The sequence below is a fragment of the Homo sapiens genome, chromosome 7, assembly GCF_000001405.40.
Source record: "Homo sapiens chromosome 7, GRCh38.p14 Primary Assembly".
In the NCBI taxonomy this organism is placed as follows: domain Eukaryota; kingdom Metazoa; phylum Chordata; class Mammalia; order Primates; family Hominidae; genus Homo; species Homo sapiens.
The window spans coordinates 139,677,234-139,695,994 of NC_000007.14; the positions used below are offsets into that span (position 1 = coordinate 139,677,234).

Consider the following 18,761-nt stretch of genomic DNA (forward strand, 5'->3'; position numbering starts at 1 on the left):
TTATATATATTATATATATATATGGAGACACACACACACACACACACATATATACACATTTTTTAAACAACAATAATGATCCTGTGACCATCCTTCTAGCTGGGTAAAGTGACTTCATTTAGTGAGAAAATGTCTTAGTTCGTTTGTGCTACTATAAAACAACACCCAACATTGGGTAATTTATAAAGTTTATTTCTCACAGTTCTGGTGGCTGGGAAGTTCAAGATCAAGGTGCCGGCATTTGGTGTCTGGGGAGGGCCTTCTTGCTGAGCCCTCACACAGCGGAAGGCAGAAGGTCAAGAGAGCAAGCTAAGCTAACAGCTACATGAAGCCACTTTTCTATTATTTTTTTTAAATTATACTTTAAGTTCTGGGATACATGTGCAGAACGTGCAGGTTTGGTACATAGGTATACATGTGCTATGATGGTTTGCTGCACCCATCAACCAGTTATCTACATTAGGTATTTCCCCTAATGCTATCCCTCCCCTAGCCCGCCACAGTAATGGAATTGCTGGGTCAAATGGTATTCCTGGTTCTAGATCCTTGAGGAATCACCACACTGTCTTCCACAATGGTTGAACTAATTTACACTCCCAACAACAGTGTGAAAGTGTTCCTATTTCTCCACATCCTCTCCAGCATCTGTTGTTTCCTGACTTTTTAATGATCGCCATTCTAACTGGTGTGAGATGGTATCTCATTGTGGTTTTGATTTGCATTTCTCTGATGACCAGTGATGATGAGCTTTTTTTCATATGTTTGTTGGCTGCATAGATGTCTTCTTTCGAGAAGTGTCTGTTCATATCCTTCGGCCACTTTTTGATGGGGTTGTTTGTTTTTTTCTTGTAAATTTGTTTAAGTTCTTTGTAGATTCTGGATATTAGCCCTTTGTCAGATGGATAGATTGCAAAATTTTTCTCCCATTCTGTAGGTTGCCTGCTCACTGTGATGATAGTTTCTTTTGCTGTGCAGAAGCTCTTTAGTTTAATTAGATCCCATTTGTCAATTTTGGCTTTTGTTGCCATTGCTTTTGGTGTTTTAGTCATGAAGTCTTTGCCATGCCTATGTCCTGAATGGTATTGCCTAGGTTTTCTTCTAGGGTTTTTATATTTTTGTATAAGGTATAAGGAAGGGGTCCAGTTTCAGTTTTCTGCATATGGCTAGCCAGTTTTCCCAACATCATTTATTAAATAGGGAATCCTTCCCCACTGCTAGTTTTTGACAGGTCTGTCGGAGATCAGATGGTTGCAGATGTGTGGCATTATTTCTGAGGCCTCTGTTTTGTTCCATTGGTCTATATAACTGTTTTGGTACCAGTACCATGCTGTTTTGGTTACTGTAGCCTTGTAGTATAGTTTGAAGTCAGGTAGCATGATGCCGCTAGCTTTGTTCTTTTTGCTTAGGATTGTCTTGGCTATACAGGCTCTTTTTTGGTTCCATATGAAATTTAATTCTGTGAAGAAAGTCAGTGGTAGCTTGATGGGGATAGCACTGAATCTATAAATTACTTTGGGCAGTATGGCCATTTTTACAATATTTATTCTTCCTATCCATGAGCATGGAATGTTCTTCCATTTGTTTGTATCCTCTTCTATTTCATTGAGCAGTGGTTTGTAGTTCTCCTTGAAGAGGTCCTTCACATCCCTTGTAAGTTGGATTCCTAGGTATTTTATTCTCTTTATAGCAATTGTGACTGGGAGTTCACTCATGATTTGGCTCTCTGTTTGTCTATTATTGGTGTATAAGAATGCTTGTGATTTCTGCACATTGATTTTGTATCCTGAGACTTTGCTGAAGTTGCTTATCAGCTTAAGGAGATTTTGGGCTGAGACGATGGGGTTTTTTAAACACACAATCATGTCATCTGCAAAGAGAGACGATTTGATTTCCTCTCTTCCTACTTGAATACGTTTTATTTCTTTCTCTTGCCGGATTGCCCTGGCCAGAACTTCCAATACTATGTTGAATAGGCGTGGTGAGAGAGGGCATCCTTGTCTTGTGCCAGTTTTCAAAGGGAATGATGAAGCCTCTTTTCTAAAGGGCCTTAAACCCATTCACCAGGGAGAAGCCTTCACGGCCTAATCACCTCTTAAAGGCCCTATCTTTTAATACTCTCACATTGGCAACACCTGAATTTTGAAGGGGACCCATTAAAACCATAGCAACAAACAATTATAAAGATTATGCTAAGAAGATGTGGGTACTTCGGGTAGACAGAGAAGTGTAAATGGGGTTAGGAATTGCATTAGGAACACTATATGCTCAGAAATACCAATCTTTAAATTAAACAACCTATCGAACTGCCTTTACATGGTGCACTGCTGGTTATAAATGTGCAATACCTGATGGGGGGAAAATTCCAGGAGAGCTTATAAAAGCATGCTAGAAGCATTAAAATTTTCCAGCCATTTCATTATTTGTCATTCAGCAAATGTTAATATTTCTCTTTGTATTCCTACTGAAGCTTGAAATTAACATGGCTTTTTGTTTATTTCTTCATTTCTGCCTCCTTGTCAGCTCATCTCAGGAATGCAGTTGGTTAGCTAGCTGCTGCAGAGCCAAATAAAAAAGCCTAAAGAAACTCAAACATTGACTGGCAAAAGGCTCTGCATGAAAAGGCATTTGTTTTTTAACCTCTCAGAAGTAGAACATTTAGCTTAAAATAAATATTTAACATCTAGGATGCTTTTATCAAGAATCATTTTGACATGGACATTAGTCTTTATCCCAAAAGCCAGATACCCTGGGGAGCAAAGTTCGCTGCAAATGTATGCAAAGGAATAGCGTGTGCAGGATACAAGGAGGCCGGAAGGCCGGAAAGCAGGGGGAGTACAGGATTTCCTAAGGTAAACCGATCTCTTAAGAATGCCTGTTCCCCTCCCGCAAATAATCATTAAACAGAATTCAGCATAAGTTCAGCATTTTCAAGTCACTCAGGGACACAGGTACCCGGGAATGTTCCCTCTGCCCCTGGACTGTTTGTGTTGGATTCCAGCCTGGCTCCTCCTGTCCCCCGACTGCAGGACTGTTTCCCACATGGAATCACGATTCAGTCACGATTAACACCCTCCCCACAGCGTGGCTGGTGCCCAAGCAGCCCCAGTAGGGCTTGGGCCTTGTGGAGGAGAGCCCTCCCCTGGGTGAACAACCCAGACAAGCCAAGTCAACTCTGGTTTTGGGATCGAACATTAAATTCACGTCACTGGCTTTAATTCTTTCCTTACCAGGTGCCTTGGGTTTTGAGGGGATGCTGTTTTATGAGGGCTTTTGTGAGGGCCAGGGATGTTTTCAAAACTACAGGGCTTGGCAGACATGGGTACTGAATGTCCCCAGGAACAAAGTAACCAGGGATTGTGTCCAAAACTGGCTTGAAGAAATGCCTCAAATGTAGCAAATCATTTTTTAAAATTCATGTTAAGATCGGCCAACAGCCTTCAGAAGACAGAACCTTTTTCATGTCTGTGGCATGTGTGTGTTCACGTGTGCTTCCTGAATTTCCCAACCAGGACATGAAGAGCACAGCCCACTGGGATTTTTTTGCTGGTGGCTTCCCATTTGGGAACAGGCTCTGAGAGACAATCTGAGCGGGCTTCCTGTGTTGTCTGAGGCCAGCTTCCACAGGGCTGCCATCAGTCAGCCCATTACTCAGCCATGGGCCCAGTGAGGCAGCCACAGGGCCACTGTGCTACAAGCACCCTCCCCGCCCCTGGTTTTCGTGCCATGGGTTTCCTGTGGAGAACATCGTCACGCTATATTCATCTTTCCTCTTAGCTGGCGCTGAGTCACTCCATGATAAAGCCACTCTTCAAGCTCTATTTTGGGTACACTTTACACTCTGAGGGAGCCGGTAACACATCTCTCCTGATATAAATGTACAGGAGAGCCCGTCAACCACAGCTCTCTGATGGAGCCTACAAGTTGCAATTGGGTCAATGTTTTCACTGCCACAGCACTTAATCACTTGAAAACTTTATCTAAACTTGTGAAGTTTTCCCTGCTTTTAGCTTTTCATTCTTTTTGGCCTGTTTTGATAACAGAAGCATGCTGCCGTCCATCCCAGGTCAGAGCTGGTGGCAGGAGAGAGGTGGGTGGGAGAGGAGGGAGGACACAGCCCACTTCTCAGGTCCTTCTAAATGGTCTTTATTAGCGGATTTCAAAATTTTGCAGTGAAATTATCAGAACACCTGGCACCTCCACATTTAAATGGAAGCACAAACCCAATTCCAAAGCCAAAGGCTTCTTCCGGAACCCCTGCTGTTTTCTATAATCAGCGCCAGTGCTGCACTCCCCTCGCCTCCTCCCGCTCAGTGTGGGTGTCAAGAGGTGACCACAAAAGAGGCTGCTCAACATCACCTGAGAACAAAGCCTCCTTTCCTGCAATTCCAAATTGACTTTTGCTGTACAAGAAAATTAAGGATGCTGTGGCTACCACCAGAGAGCACATTTAAAACTCCTCACATGAAAGGCCCTTGCACTCCTGGGAAAAATATTCTCACTTTAAGGAGAGTCACAGCGTGCGGAGCCTGGACTTTCCATGCACCAAGCCCTGGGTCCATGCAGCCACCACTGCTCCAGGGAGCAGAAGGTCTGATGTTCTCTGAGCTGGAATCTTCCTACATTTCTTTGTCCACTGACTGGGGGCCCTGGTTCTAGGACAGCATCTCCCCTGGTGCTGGAGGTGCTCAAACCACCATGGCCTGGCCTGAGTGGGCTCTATCTTTTCCAGGGCAGGCATCACAGTGGAGCCCTCGGATCTGGCTGACACTCCTGTTACTCGTGCACGGCTTATGTCATGCTGGTACAGACCCTGGGCCATGTAGAGGACTCATGGTGAGATGCCAATGTGGCTACTGCCCCAGCTTCTGCCCTCACTTGGCACATACCATAGACCACGTTGCTTCCACTCCTCAGAAGGAAAACCCCCTCTATTGCCAAGCTGTTCAATATTCACGACAGGCAAGGTCCTTATGATTCAGTCCTGTTACCTCTCCAGCCTCATCATCCACCACATGCCCTCACTCACTCACTCATCAAACATCCACTGAGAGCCCATAGTGAGTCAAGACCTGGGCTTGGCACCAGGAACACTGGGTAAAACCCATCTCTAGCCTCAAGAAACTCATCCATGAGCAGGGGTAGCCAGACCTGTAACTATACATGTGCAATGAGGGGTTGGAATGAAGGGCTCTGTTGAGGCACCTAGGACAGAGATGTCAGTTCCACCTTCTTCAGGTGCAGTGTGGACACCACCTCTTACGGGAAGCTTTCCCTCATCCCTCCCGCTGCGTGCCTGTGCCCTCCTCTGGGTCCCTGTGGTGGGTGGGGCCGTAATGACTGTGCTTGACTGCTCCTCAAGAGCAGGAACACTGTTTTACTCATCTCCTCCCCACAGCACCCTGCACCATGTCCTGCCACACAGTAAGTGCTCCATGCATGTTTATTGTTTCAAATGCGCCTAATGGTAAATCTCAGACTCTGAGTCAATGGCAATCTCCCAAAAGCACTGTGTTAAGGACCCGCGTTCCCCTTTCTTCTAACAGAGGGGACAGAAGGCGCTGGAAGACTCCAGTCAGGACATGTGACTGCTGGAGCAAGCCTAGCTGCTCATGAGCTGTGTGCATTCCAGAGATGCTTCTGGCCCCTCTTGCCCCTTGTCCCCTCCTCTGTAGGACAGTGGAGGGCCCCCTGGCATCACAGGGCCACAGACAGGAAGTGGGGTGGAGCAAGAGAGGCTGGTCCTTTCTGGGAAATGACAGAGCAGCAAGAACCAGACTTTCTGGTGGGAGAGAAAGGAGAATGTGTGTTCTCTCTTAAATATAAGGCATTTTTACCACCAACACGCCACTCAGTAAGGTCACTCCTGGGTTGATGAACAAAACCTTGCTGTTTGTACAATATTTAGCATTACCTGGAAGGGCCTGGCTCTCACCTCGGAGCCTGGACGTGACCTGCTTCATGCTTAACTATATAACACGCGTGCCACACACGAGGATAAAAATGCGAACAGAGACTGCATTAGCTGCCTGTTAATGTGTAACAAGGTACCGCAAAACTTAGTGCCTTAAAATAACCATTACTTCATGGTTGCTCTAGGCCAGTGCTTCAGCAGCGGCCTAGCCGGGTCTGGTGCAGGGTCCCTCATGAGGCTGCGATCAAGATGTTTCCAAGCTCCCCAAGGCAGCTGCGGTCTGTGAGCCTCAGCTCCTCCCTACGGGGGCCTCCACAGGACTGCTCACAACACGGGAGCCAAAGCGAGAAATACCAGAGAGAGAGACACACGCATACCAAGACAGAAGCTGCAGAACCTCTCAGAATCTAATCTTGGAAGTGAAACACCGTCATTTCTGCCAGATTCTCTGGGTCACACAGACCAATCCTGGTGAATACCAGGAGGTGAGGGTCATTAGGGGCCTTCCTGGAGGTTGGCTGCCACTGTCATACCCTGGCAATGGCATTCATACCATTGGCAGGCAATGGCATGTCATACAGCTTCATGAGGGTTGGCTATGTCCTTTCCAGAGTAAAATAGATAGATTCATTATTCTGTATTACACCAACAGTTAGGTCTTACTCACTCTCCTGTGGTTTTGAAGGGCTACAAATACTTTAGAAAATAGTTTTAAACACTGAATGGGCTTGGAATTTGGGGAGGGGCATATATATAGAGAGACATACCTCATTATATTGCCCCTAGCTTGACTGAGCTTTGCAGATACCATGATTTTTTTTTTTTACACAAATTGAAGGTTTGTGGCAACCGTGCATCGAGCCGGTCTATCAGTACCATTTTTCCAAAAGCATGTGCTCACTTCATGTCTCTGTGCCACATTTTGGTAATTCTCACAATATTTCAAACTTTTTCATCATTGTGATATCTGTTATGGTGACCTGTGATTAATGATCTTTGATGTTACTATTGTAATGGTACTTGTGTGCCATGAATTGCACCCATATAAGATGGCAAACTTAATCAAACATGTGGTGTGTATTCCATCTATGAGCTGTTCCCCCATCTCTCTCCTTCTTCTCGGGCCTCTCTCTTCTCTGAGATACAATAATATGGAAATTAGGCCAATTAATAATCCTACAATGACTTCTAAGTGTTCAAGCGAAAGAAAGAGTTGCATGTCTCTCATTTTAAATCAAAAGCTAGTAATGATTGAGCTTAGTGAGGAAGGTATGTCAAAAGCTGACACAGGGCTGGTTGTGGTGGCTCATGCCTGTAATCCCAGCACTTTGGGAGGCTAAGGCGGGAGGACTGCTTGAGGCCAGGAGTTTGAGACCAGCCTGGATGACACAGTGAGACCCTATCTCTACAAACAAAATATTTTAAAAAATTAGCTGGACATAGTGATGTGTACCTATAGTCCTAGGTACTCTGGATGCAGGAGAATCACTTGAATCCAGGAGTTTGAGGTTGCAGTAGCCTATGATTGCACCAATGCACTCCAGCCTGGACAACAGAGAGAGACTGTCTTAATAACATAAAAAAAGCTGAGACAGGCTGAATGCTAGGTCTCTTGTGCCAAACAGCCAAGTTGTGAATGCAAAGAAAACATTCTTGAAAGAAATTAAAAGTGCTACTCCAGTGAACACAGGAATGATAAGAAAGTAAAATGGCCTTACTGCTGATATGGAGAAGGTTTTTTAGTGGTCTGGATAGAAGATCCAACCAGCCACAACACTCCCTTCAGCCAAAGCCTAATCCAGAACAAATCCCTAACTCTTCAATTCTGTGGAAGCTAAGAGAGGTGAGGAAATTGTAGAAAAAAAGTTTGCAGCTATCAGAGGTTGGTTCATAAGGTTTAAGGAAATAAGCCATCTCCATAACATAAAAATGCAAAGGGAAGCAGCAAGTGCCCATACAGAAGCTGCAGCAAGTTATCCAGAAGATCTGGCTAAGATCATTGATGAAGGTGGCTACATGAAACAACAGATTTTCTTTTTTGTTTGAGACAGGGTCTCACTCTGTCGCTCAGGCTGGAGGGCAGTGGCACGATCTCAGCTCACAACAGCCTCAACCTCCTGGGCTCAGGTGATCCTCCCACCTCAGCCTCTCAAGTAGCTGGGATTACAGGCATGCAACACCACAGCCAGCTAATTTTTTGTACAGACAAGGTTTCGCCATGTTGCCCAGGCTGGTCTCAAACTCCTGGGCTCAAGCAATCCTCCTTCCTCAGCTTCCCAAAGTGCTGGGATTACAGGTATGAGCCACCACACCCGGCCAACAGGTTTTCAATGTAGATGAAACAGCCGTCTATTGGAAGAAGATGCCATCTAGGACTTTCGTAGCTAGAGGGGAGAAGTCAATGCCTGGCTTCAAAGATTCAAAGGACAGGCTTGCTCTCTTGTTAAGGGCTGATGCAGCTGGTGACTTTAAGTCGAAGCCAGTGCTCATTTACCATTCTGAAAATCCTAAGGTCCTTAAGAATTGTGCTAAATCTACTTTGCCTGTGCTTTATAAATGGAACTGCAAAGCCTAGATGACAGGACATCTGTTTAAAGCCTGGTTTACTGAATATTTTAAGCCCATTGTTGAGACCTACTTCTCAGAACAAAAAGATTTCTTTCAAGATATGACTGCTCATTGACAATGTACCTAGTCACCCAGGATCTCTGATGGAGATGTACAAGATTAATGTGATTTCATGCCTGCTAACACAACATCCATTCTGTAGCCCATAGATCAAGGGGTAATTTTGTCTTTCATGTCTTATTATTTAAGAAACACATCTTGTAAGCCTATAGCTGCCATAGACAGTGAGTCCTCTGATGGATCTGGCCAAAGTAAATTGAAAGTCTTCTGGAAAGCATTCCCCATTCTAAATGCCATTAAGAACAGTCATGATTCATGGAAAGACGTCAACATGTCAACATTAATAGGAGTTTGGAAGAGGTTGATTCCAACCTACATGGATGACTTTGAAGGGTTCAAGACTTCAGTGGTGTAAGTCACTGTAAATGAGGTAGAAATAGGAAGAGAACCAGAAAGAGAAGTGGAGCTGAAGATGTGACTGAATTGCTGCACTCTCATGATCAAACTTAAATGGATGAGGAGTTGCTTCTTATGAACGAGCAAAAAAAGTAGTTTCTTGAGATGGAATCTATTTCTGGTGAAGATGCTGTGAATATTGTTGAAATGATAACAAAGGATTTAGAATATTTGATATGGTTTGGCTGTGTCCCCACCCAAATCTCATCTTGAATTGTAGTTCCCATCATCCCCAAGTGTTGTGAGAGGGACCTGGTGGGAGGTAATTGAATCATGGGGGCAGTTGCATTCATGCTGTTCTCATGACAGTGAGTTCTCATGAGATCTGATGGTTTTATAAGGGGCTTTCCTCCCACTTTGCTCTGTACTTCTCCTTGCTGCTGCCATGTGAAGAAGGATGTGTTTGCTTCACCTTCTGCCATGATTGTAAGTTTTCTAAGGGCTCCCCAGCCCTGTGAAACTGTGAGTCAATTAAACCTCTTTCCTTTTTAAATTACCCAGTCTCGGGTATTTCTTCATAGCAGCGTGAGAACAGACTAATACAATATTCCATAAGCCTCGTTGATAAAGCAGTGGCAGGGTCTGAAAGGACTGACTCCAAATTTGAAAGTTCTACTGTGGCTCAAATGTTATCAAACAGCATCACATGCTACAGAGAACTCTTTCGTGAAGGGAAGAGTCAAGTGATGCAGCAAACTTCACTGCTGTCATTTTGACAAAATTGCCACAGCCACCCCAACCTTTAGCATCCACCATCCTGATCAGTCAGCAACGATTGACATCGAGGTAAGACCCTCCAACCAGCAAAAAGATTATGACTCACTGAAGGCCCAGAAGATCACTAGCATTTTTAGCAATGAAGTATTTTATTCATTCATTCATTCATTTATTTATTTAAAAATGATGTCTTGCTATGTTGGCCAGACTGGTCTCAACTCATCACTACAAGCAATTCTTCTGCTTCAGCCTCCCAAGTAGCTGGGATTAAAGGTGCAAGCCTAGCTCTAGCATTTTAAAATTAGCTCTAGTATTTTAAAATTAAGTATGTGCAATTTTTTAGACATGATATAGCATACAAATGAGGTAAGTACAAATGATTGCACACAAAGACTACACTACAGTTTTTTATATGCACTAAGAACCACAATAATGCATGTGATTCACTGTATTGCAATATTCACTTTATTGAGGTGGTCTGAAACCAAGCCTGCAATATCTCTGAGGTATTTATAATATGCCAGGCATTATTAGGTGGTTGGGATATAGAATACATTGGTGAAGAAAACAGACTAACATAGTAAATACAGGATATTTAATGTTGCTTAAGAATTTTGGTTTTAATTTTAACACAGGGTATGGGTGATAAGCTGCCCCCAATTCTTGTCTCAGTCTATCCCATCCCATCTCATCCTATCCCATGTCTAAAGTCCCTCAGCAGGCACCCCTCACTAGGATTGGTATGCCAAGAACCTGGGAGAAAATACTAGTCTCCTGGATTCCTAAACTTGCACACCTCAGGCAGTACAGGGCAGAGGAACCAGCTCTTCCTGTCCCAGGCTAAACACAATTCTGGCTGAAACAGCTTAGATTTGTGCTTAATAATATTCTGGGGCAGTTTGGGGGCTGGTGGATGTATGGGTGATTGGGAGAAGGATCCAGAGATGAGAGGAGATGAAATTTCCCAGAGAGAAGGCAAAGATCCTTGGGAAGAACCAGATTCTAGGATCTTCCTTAGCCAAGATCTGCAAAGCTGTGCTTGAGCACATCCAGGGATAAGCTCACCCTTGTTCTCAAGCAGCATGGATTCTTGTCACCCCAACTCACACAGGCAGCCCATTGGGCCTGCAGGGACAATCCACTGGGCCAACACACACACACACGCAGCCCATTGGGCCTGCAGGGACAATCCACTGGGCACACACACACCCCATCCCTCTTCTTGCCCTCTGAAGCCTGGCCAGACCAGGCCTGTGTGAGCTCCTCCTCTTTCGTGACCACGTGAATCTGGAGCTGATGACTCATTCATCGAGATCAAGAGGCACTCCCTCCTCTCATTCTCTTGGTCTGGCAGTCTCCTCCACTTTTCCACTTTTTCCTTTTCAAACTCCTCTCCTTACCGCTCCCCCTAACTGGGAGTGATTGTCAAGTAAATGATAACTTGACCTCTGAATATCAGAAGCAGTTGAAGACAGCTAGAGACTGGAAGACACAGGAAGGTGTGGAAGAACGGGCTTCTCACTCCCTCAACTCTAGAGTCTGGGCCAATGTCAAGGGCCAAAAGGCAGGAGCTGATGGCTGCTGCCGGTTCTCTTCCAAGGGCTATGGTTGGGGGTATGATCCCAGTTAAAGGGAGATGTTTAAGAGGGCTGGTAGGCTACTTATTTTCATCTGCAGCCTACAATCTTAGCATCAAGTCCTCCCCTGAATAATGTGGCACAGGATAATATTTGTTATCAATCATATGCCTCAATTGACTATTTTTAACACCAGAGATGAGTTCCCATGTAAAATCACTTTCCCTCTTCCCACCTCCCACCTCACCAAAATCCAGACAGCAAAACTTAAAAATACTAATGTTCATTATAAGACGGATTCTGCCTGCATGTGAATTTAATGCCACCAGTATAGAACATGATGAAAAAAAAGTCAAAGTGACCAACAACTTGTATAAGACTTCTGGGTACATTCAGGGGCTTATGTACAGTAAAATACCACAATTTTATTTCCAGTCTTACTAAGAGTTTATACCTTATGGTACCACTACAAGTCAAACCTGAATATTAACAAGGCAAATGAAGAGAAACTCTCAAAATGAAAACTTTCCTAACTGCCAAGTGGTGGACCAAGAGCCAAAGCTAAAGTTGAATCTTCGTGCAGCCTGGAGACGCCCGATGAGTGCCACGTTTGGCTGGGGTGTAAATGCAGCCACGGACCCCACAGAGTGCTCCCCAAGAGCTGGGGAAATGAACTGCTGGTAGGGAAAACTGCTATCGGGAAAACTTAGAAGTCAGGAAATGCAATCAGAGAAAAGCGGTCATATTTTGTTGGCGTTAACAGGGCTGCCTAATTCAATCATCACAATGAAGCCCACATACCAAATGGAACCTTGAAGTTCTCAGGATTAAGATTTAGGCAGTCCAAGTGTGTCATTTTGAAGTTATGTATGTTATATGCTGTCTTATAAGAAAGAATTGGCTTGCTATCCAATTTGGAATGAAAATAAATATTTCTTGTGAAACAGCCCAGAATTACTTTCACACAACATCATTTATATGTATTAGCTAAATTGCAAGTTCCTCACAGGTAACATCTTCCTGTCTCAGTTACCTTATGTCTGTTGATGGTGAAGAATACTGGGTCTGCTATGGGGGAGGTGTGCAGAAATGTTTCTCACCTGATGAGCCCAGCCTGGAACTTTCCTATTACAAACCTGCCCATCTCTGCCACACACAGCTTCCCATTGGTCCAAGGGTCATATCTGGCCCTACATGTAATCGTGTGGCTCAGAAATCCCAAGCTATGGCTTGCGCTTTGCTTGAAGAGGAGCCAGGACTAACTGGGGTCTGGAGACTTCTAACTCCAAAATGAGAAAAAGAGGACTGGGAAGGAGTCAGGTGGTGAGTCAATCAACAGGAGAGCGGCAGAGCTTCCCTGACAGGACAGGGACAAAGGCCTCAGGCAGCCTGTGAGGGGGAAAGACGCTGGGTGGATGTCCTTGCTCACCATCCACAGTGAGAGCTCACGCAGGGTGCCGGGCACCTCGGTGTGCACAGGGGGCTGGGGGAGCCTCAAGGTGGGGCCCAATCTATGCAGGTCCATGAGAAGCGGTGGGGGCGGGGGTGGGGGAGTGCGGGGAGGGACAGCTGACACAGCAGGTTTAAAGGGATGCCAGGGGAAAGCGCTTGGGAAATGAGCTGCACCCAGAAAGCCCTCAGACCCATTCCTGAACACTTGCTTGCCCAACTACGTCAGTGTAAAGGGGTGGTGAATGCATCAACACAAGGGCCATTTGCTAGAGCATCGGTCCCTATTTAGTGGTATGAGCAGTGCACACAGAGTCAGGGGAGGGCAGAGGGCCAAGAAGAGTAGGGACATACAGCAGGCTGTGGACAGATGCTGGCTTCCCTATGCTACAGTTTTGATGTTTGTCCCCCTCCAATCTTATGTTGAAATGTGATCTCCAGTGTTGGAGGTGGGAACTAATGGGAGGTATTTGGGTCATGGGGACAGATCCCTCATGAACGGCTTAGTGTTGTCCTCGCAGTAATAAATGAGTTCTTGCTCTATTTGTTCCCACGAGAGCTAGTTGTAAAAAAGAGCCAGCCCCAGCACTTTGGGGTGGGGGGCCAAGGTGGGAGGATCGTTTGTGCCCAGGAGTTCGAGACCAGCCTGGGCAACATAGTGAGACACTGTCTCTACAAAAAATAGAAATAAATTTTAAAAATAAAATAAAATAAATACAAATTTAAAGAGCCTGGCACTCCCCTGCCCCCGCCTTGCTTCCTCCAGTGCCATGTAATCCGCACACGCCAGCTCCCCTTCACCTTCAGCCATGAGTGGGGGCAGCCTGTGGCCCTTACCAGATGCAGATGACCAATCTTGAACTTTTGCAGACATCAGAATCATGAGCGAAATAAACTTCTTTTCTTTATAAATTACCCAGTCTCAGGTATTCCTTGATAGCAACACTAAAGGGACTCAGACATCCTACGAACCGGGTGTTTGATCCTGGACAATCTCGGCCTGGGAAGCCTGCAAATGCTCACCTTTAGCATCTGGCCGAGAGCCTTAAGCCTCCAATGTATTTGACATAAAAAACAGGAATCTGTAATGAAGGAGGTGAGATTAGATAATTGCCAAGATCACTTTCAGGGACACAGTGTTGAGATTCTGTGGGAAACCTCTTTTCTTTGGACAAAAGGAAAACGCCCCCCTACCCTTACTATCACAGTGTGGTATTGGCTCTATATGTGGCTAGCTGCAGAGCTGGTTTATATGTCTCTATAGTTCCATAGTTTCGATTGTGCAAACATCTGGCACCCTTGCTGATAAAACCGAACATCAAATAACACTGCAGTTGCTGGTAATTTAGCACTCTGACGAGCCCGTCCCCATTATGACTAAGAAAGTTCAGTGTTCATATCTGCGGAGAGAGTGACAACAAACTTAGGCCCTCTTTTCATGTAATAAGACAATAATAGCAGATAGCCAATGTCATTAAGTCTTGCTCTTTTGCAACCCTGCTCCCTGCCTACCCAAGAGTAATATGTGGCTTGGAATCACTTACACTCTGACCTGGCACTGCTGCATGGAGCACAATTTCTATGTGAAACACTGGACCAAAATGAAAGCCTGACCCTTCACCTCATGAGCCCTCATAAACCATGTGGGAAAAGTCTGGCACAGTGAGCTGCCCCACAGCAGCAAAACCAGCTGGGATAAGGAGGTGAGCCTGGTGTGGAGAGAGCTGGCTGGGGACCAGCTGGCTTGACTCCTTCCTGGCTCTGCGTCCAGGGACAGGGCAGATTCTCAGTTTCCACCTGTGCAAGTGGGGATGAAACGGAGCTGCTCTGATGATTAAATGAAACTGTATACATCATGGTGCTCTGTCAAGTACAAAATTGTATTAATACCTCAAAAATAAATAATACATTAAAAACCGTGGCCTATGAAAAAAATCCAGAGTTTTTGGGGAATAGAAATATACGTGGTATACTTATTTCTCCTTTCAGGGAAGGTATTAAATCCACCAAAACCAGGATATTTATAAAAAGATGATTTCTACGCATTCATATATTAAAAAATAAAACTTAAGGTAACAGGTTTTTGATATAACATTACAGGCATATCAGTAGACAGTAGATGGACAGCTTTTTGGTTTTCTAAAAATTTTAAATAGGCCAGTGCTCAAAGAAATGACCAACCTGGTGCAGTTTCTAATTCTGAAGTATCTGAAACAGTATTTTCTTTTTTAAAGAAATACATACATTTAATAACATTTGAAGCTCATTTTCATTTGGCACCAACAACTACCTAGAACATAACCCAGAACCTGGAAGTGAACTCAAAAAGGCCTTTGAGCACCAAAAATAGATGTAAAATCTGTGCATTAAGCTCATGCACACTGGCTACAGAGAGGGTGTCAGGCCCTCCCCGAGAGCCTGCTTAATGCCAAGGTCAAAGGTATAGAGCTAGCTCTGTATACCCTGCACTATGTTCCCACATCCTAGACTTTCACAGCAATCCTACTAAGGGAGCAGGACAGGTTCTTTTCCTGTGTACAGAGAGGGGTGACCGTGGCTCCCTGACATGAAGTAGGTTTCTATTGTCATCTGTAGAATTTGGGGTGGGGGAATGGTTAGATCCCACATGATAGTAATTGCATTGTTACTATCTCCCAATTGAGAAAATACAAAATACCAAAAAGTCACAGTAGGCAAGTCACATTTTCCAATTTATTAATCACAATAGCATCTATATGCATCAGAAAAAAAAACAGTTATGTGCTTACGTCCCAAACATAATTTCGTCAGTACCCATTATGTGGGTGGAGCATATGCAGATTCTCACACATTCGTGATAAATGCCCATCCTAGGCAGGGAAGAAGTACGGCTCTAAATTTCAGGAGCCAAGGGCTTGCTTAAGGCCACATGCCCAGCTTGGGGCTAGAAGCCAGGTCGTTTGGTTCCTATGCCAATATTTTTTCCATTACCTCCAACAGGTTTGGTGACTTGATTCTGCTGTCATGAAGAGATGGGAACACGACATTAGAACAGGAGAGAGCCACTGCAGGAAGGGGCTGGCATAATGACAACAGTTCCTAACCCCAAGAGGAACAGAGACCAACCACTGTGAGAAGATGCAAAGCTTTTGGAGGCAGAAAGACTCCAAAGGCTCTATCACTTAGTGATTATAGGATTTGGGGCAAGTTACTTAACCTCCTTGAGCTTGTTTCCTCATCTACAGAATGGAAAAAATGCCTTGTGAAGAACAGAGAAAATGCATGTAAAATTCCTTGCATATAACAGGCACTTAATAAATGGCAGCTAGAGTTAGAATTTTAACTCAATGAACACAGATACAAGGAGCCTTTTAACTGGAGCAAAGAGAATTAAACTCTAAGTAGAGCACCTAAGTGCATGTCTGTGTTTGAACACATTTCATCACATTTATAATAACCCTGAGGGATTAGGAAGGGGTTCAGTTGGAGAGAGAGCAGCACTTGGTAGAAGAAACGTGTGTCTGGGGGTCAGACACACCTGGTTCAAATCCCAGCAGCACTACTTCTAGCCTTGTGCCACTTGGCAGTTGGTTTCCTCAGACTCAATTTTCTCATCCACTAAATGGGGAGTTGTCCCAAAGATTAAATGTAGGCCTCTGGCCTTTAGCAGATGCTTATTAAAATGCCAGTGCCATTCATTCCCCTTCGTCCTCTACTCTATATCAGAAGGTATGGGATGCTATGATGTCTTCCTGTTAAATTTTTGTCCAGAAAAAAAAAAAAAACATTTTAAGTATGGTGTTGAAATGGGTAAGTTTTAGTCACTTGGGAAATGTATACACACATGATATCTTTATTCTCCAATAATGTGTGACTCAGGTAAACATTTCTAAAAACATGTGCACTTATCAGATACTAAAATGCAGTATCCCGCAGGCAGCAGGCACTCAATAAATGCTTGCTGCAAACTGAACACATGAAAGGAGTGATAATCCAACTCTAAAAACAAGCCACTTCCACATGCATAAAGAGTGCAGTCTTTCCTTGAAGTGACTGATTCTAAACCGAGAAGAAACTTGGAACTGCAAAAGCAGAAATATACTTTTTTTCCTATTCAATAAATCATCAAGAAAGGTTAAGTCTGAAGGGTCTGCATTACTCAGTACAGAAGGTTTCTCAGATTTCTCTTTTGACCTGGCTGTAATAGATGCACTTCGAATTAGCAAAAATTCATCTGCTCTTTCTGACTCATGAAATAAACGGATGAACTTTAATCCATCCTCCTGTAACTCTCACAGTCTGCCATGCTCCACTCTGCCAGAGACACGTGTGTCCTTACACGCTCCACAAGACACCAGATATGTATCAACAGAGCAAGGTTCTGTCACCTAGCCCAGTGATAGATACCCATTACCAACACAAAGATACCTCAGATCGATGATCATGACGTATCCCAGCAACACACGGCTCAGAGCTCCGACAGGTGTCTCCTCCCAAGGCAGGACCAAAGGCACGGGGCACTGTCATGCTGAGGGGTCATTCCTGCCCCAGCCCAGATCCACCTCTGGTCTCTGGAACCACGTGGGGAGTCTGTTGTGGTCTGCCTGGGTCTCAAAGCGTTCTCGCCACCTGCCAAGGTTCACTGATTGAGACAAGCCCACCATTCCCTGGTGGCCTGATCATTCCTGTGCGCATGGTCCATGGTCACATAAAAACAGAGATGGGGCACTCAGCTATGATAAATGGGGGAGGTAGTGTCTGCTTTGGTTTAGTGGAAAGATGTCAGTTGAACAGAGAAGGTGGAGGATGAGGGCTGGAAGGTGCAGAGTGAATGGGCAGGAGGACAAGGCTCTGCCTGTTAACCCCAGGACAGGTGACTGGCAACCATTTATGGGGCAAGGCAATGGCCTAACAGTTGCATGCAGACATTACAACAGAAAAGGAACAGTCAAACAAGGAATATCCTGCAAAACTGCTGAACCTGTGATATTTATCTGCCTCAGAAAACTGTTAAAACACAGAAATCCACAGGCTCGCCCCCTATTATATGGCCTGCTAATGTTTACTGGCATTTTTCCTAGCTAGCTGCTCCTAAACGTGCTCTTGCCTCTGGCTGCGAGGTTCGCCATTTTGTCAAGAAAACAAAACGCCTGTCTGTAGCTCAGTGCACGGACTTCACTCACAAACACCATCTCCATGAAAAAGTAATAAAAGTGAAATATAGTTTATTAATATTCATACTGTCTCCCACTGCCAGCAGCCATAAGTGTTCCATCATTAGAGGAGCAGGCTGCTTGCGGGCCGATTCCCAGGGAGCCGTGGTCCTCGTCATCAAAGTGACCATCACAGTGGGTGGCTCAGAACGGAGGGTTAGGCCTCACCGGAACTGCACGACTACTGTGTGGCCCGGGGCTGCCTTTCACCACCCGCTAGTTAGACAGCCTTGGGGGCTCGCCACTCCATCTCTTGGGGCCACCATGAAATGGGAAATGGGGCTGAGAACGCCAACCTGATTGCCTGACATCAATGCTACATGGGAAGGAAACCTCTGTACTTGAGAATAGAAGTAGATATATTTAAGCTTGAGGACATTAAAAAGTTATTCAAGAGGCCAGGGGAAAGCAAAGAATCAGAACAAATCAGAACTGCTCTACAGAATGGTTTACAGGACAAACAGTTCATTAAAACCCATATAAACTTCCAAGAGTAGAAAGAACACACACTCAAGATGAAAATTTAGGAAAGGAGGATTTACAATAGTTCCAAAATATAATCTGCCAAAGATGTTTTGGACAAATTACCGAAAACTATGGAAGAAGCATGACTCAGGGATGAAATGGCTACAAAACCACAGTTCAGTGAAATCCTGTCCCACAGCTTAACTGTGATCAGAGTGATTTCTGTCTAATTTTCTGCACTGGACTCTCCTTGGGGGAAGGGCCTAGTTCTGATTCATCATAGCACACTGTCTTGCTCCTAATAGGTGTCCAATAAATGTTTCCTGAATTAAGGGGGGAAGAAAAGTATTAACAAATCAGGATTTG

General features: G+C 44.6%; 1 protein-coding gene across 13 annotated transcripts in view, besides 3 other annotated features; it reads right to left on the reverse strand.

Annotated features, from left to right (window-relative positions):
* Positions 1–18,761, reverse strand: part of HIPK2 (homeodomain interacting protein kinase 2) — a 216,429-nt gene that overhangs the window by 115,664 nt on the left and 82,004 nt on the right. The window lies entirely within an intron of this gene.
* Positions 3,265–4,464: an enhancer, noted in NCBI's record as "BRD4-independent group 4 enhancer chr7:139365244-139366443 (GRCh37/hg19 assembly coordinates)". NCBI's record gives its function as "activates an origin of replication core promoter dependent on BRD2, P300/CBP, MED14 and CDK7 cofactors, and independent of BRD4, by STARR-seq in HCT116 cells {active_cell/tissue: HCT116}" and the evidence as "EXISTENCE:reporter gene assay evidence [ECO:0000049][PMID:35650434]".
* Positions 5,441–5,610: an enhancer, noted in NCBI's record as "active region_26767". NCBI's record gives its function as "activates an Ori minimal core promoter by ATAC-STARR-seq in GM12878 lymphoblastoid cells {active_cell/tissue: GM12878}" and the evidence as "EXISTENCE:reporter gene assay evidence [ECO:0000049][PMID:35858748]".
* Positions 15,600–16,101: an enhancer, noted in NCBI's record as "NANOG hESC enhancer chr7:139377579-139378080 (GRCh37/hg19 assembly coordinates)". NCBI's record gives its function as "activates a minimal SCP1, AML or CMV promoter by ChIP-STARR-seq in naive H9 embryonic stem cells {active_cell/tissue: H9 hESC(naive)}" and the evidence as "EXISTENCE:reporter gene assay evidence [ECO:0000049][PMID:30033119]".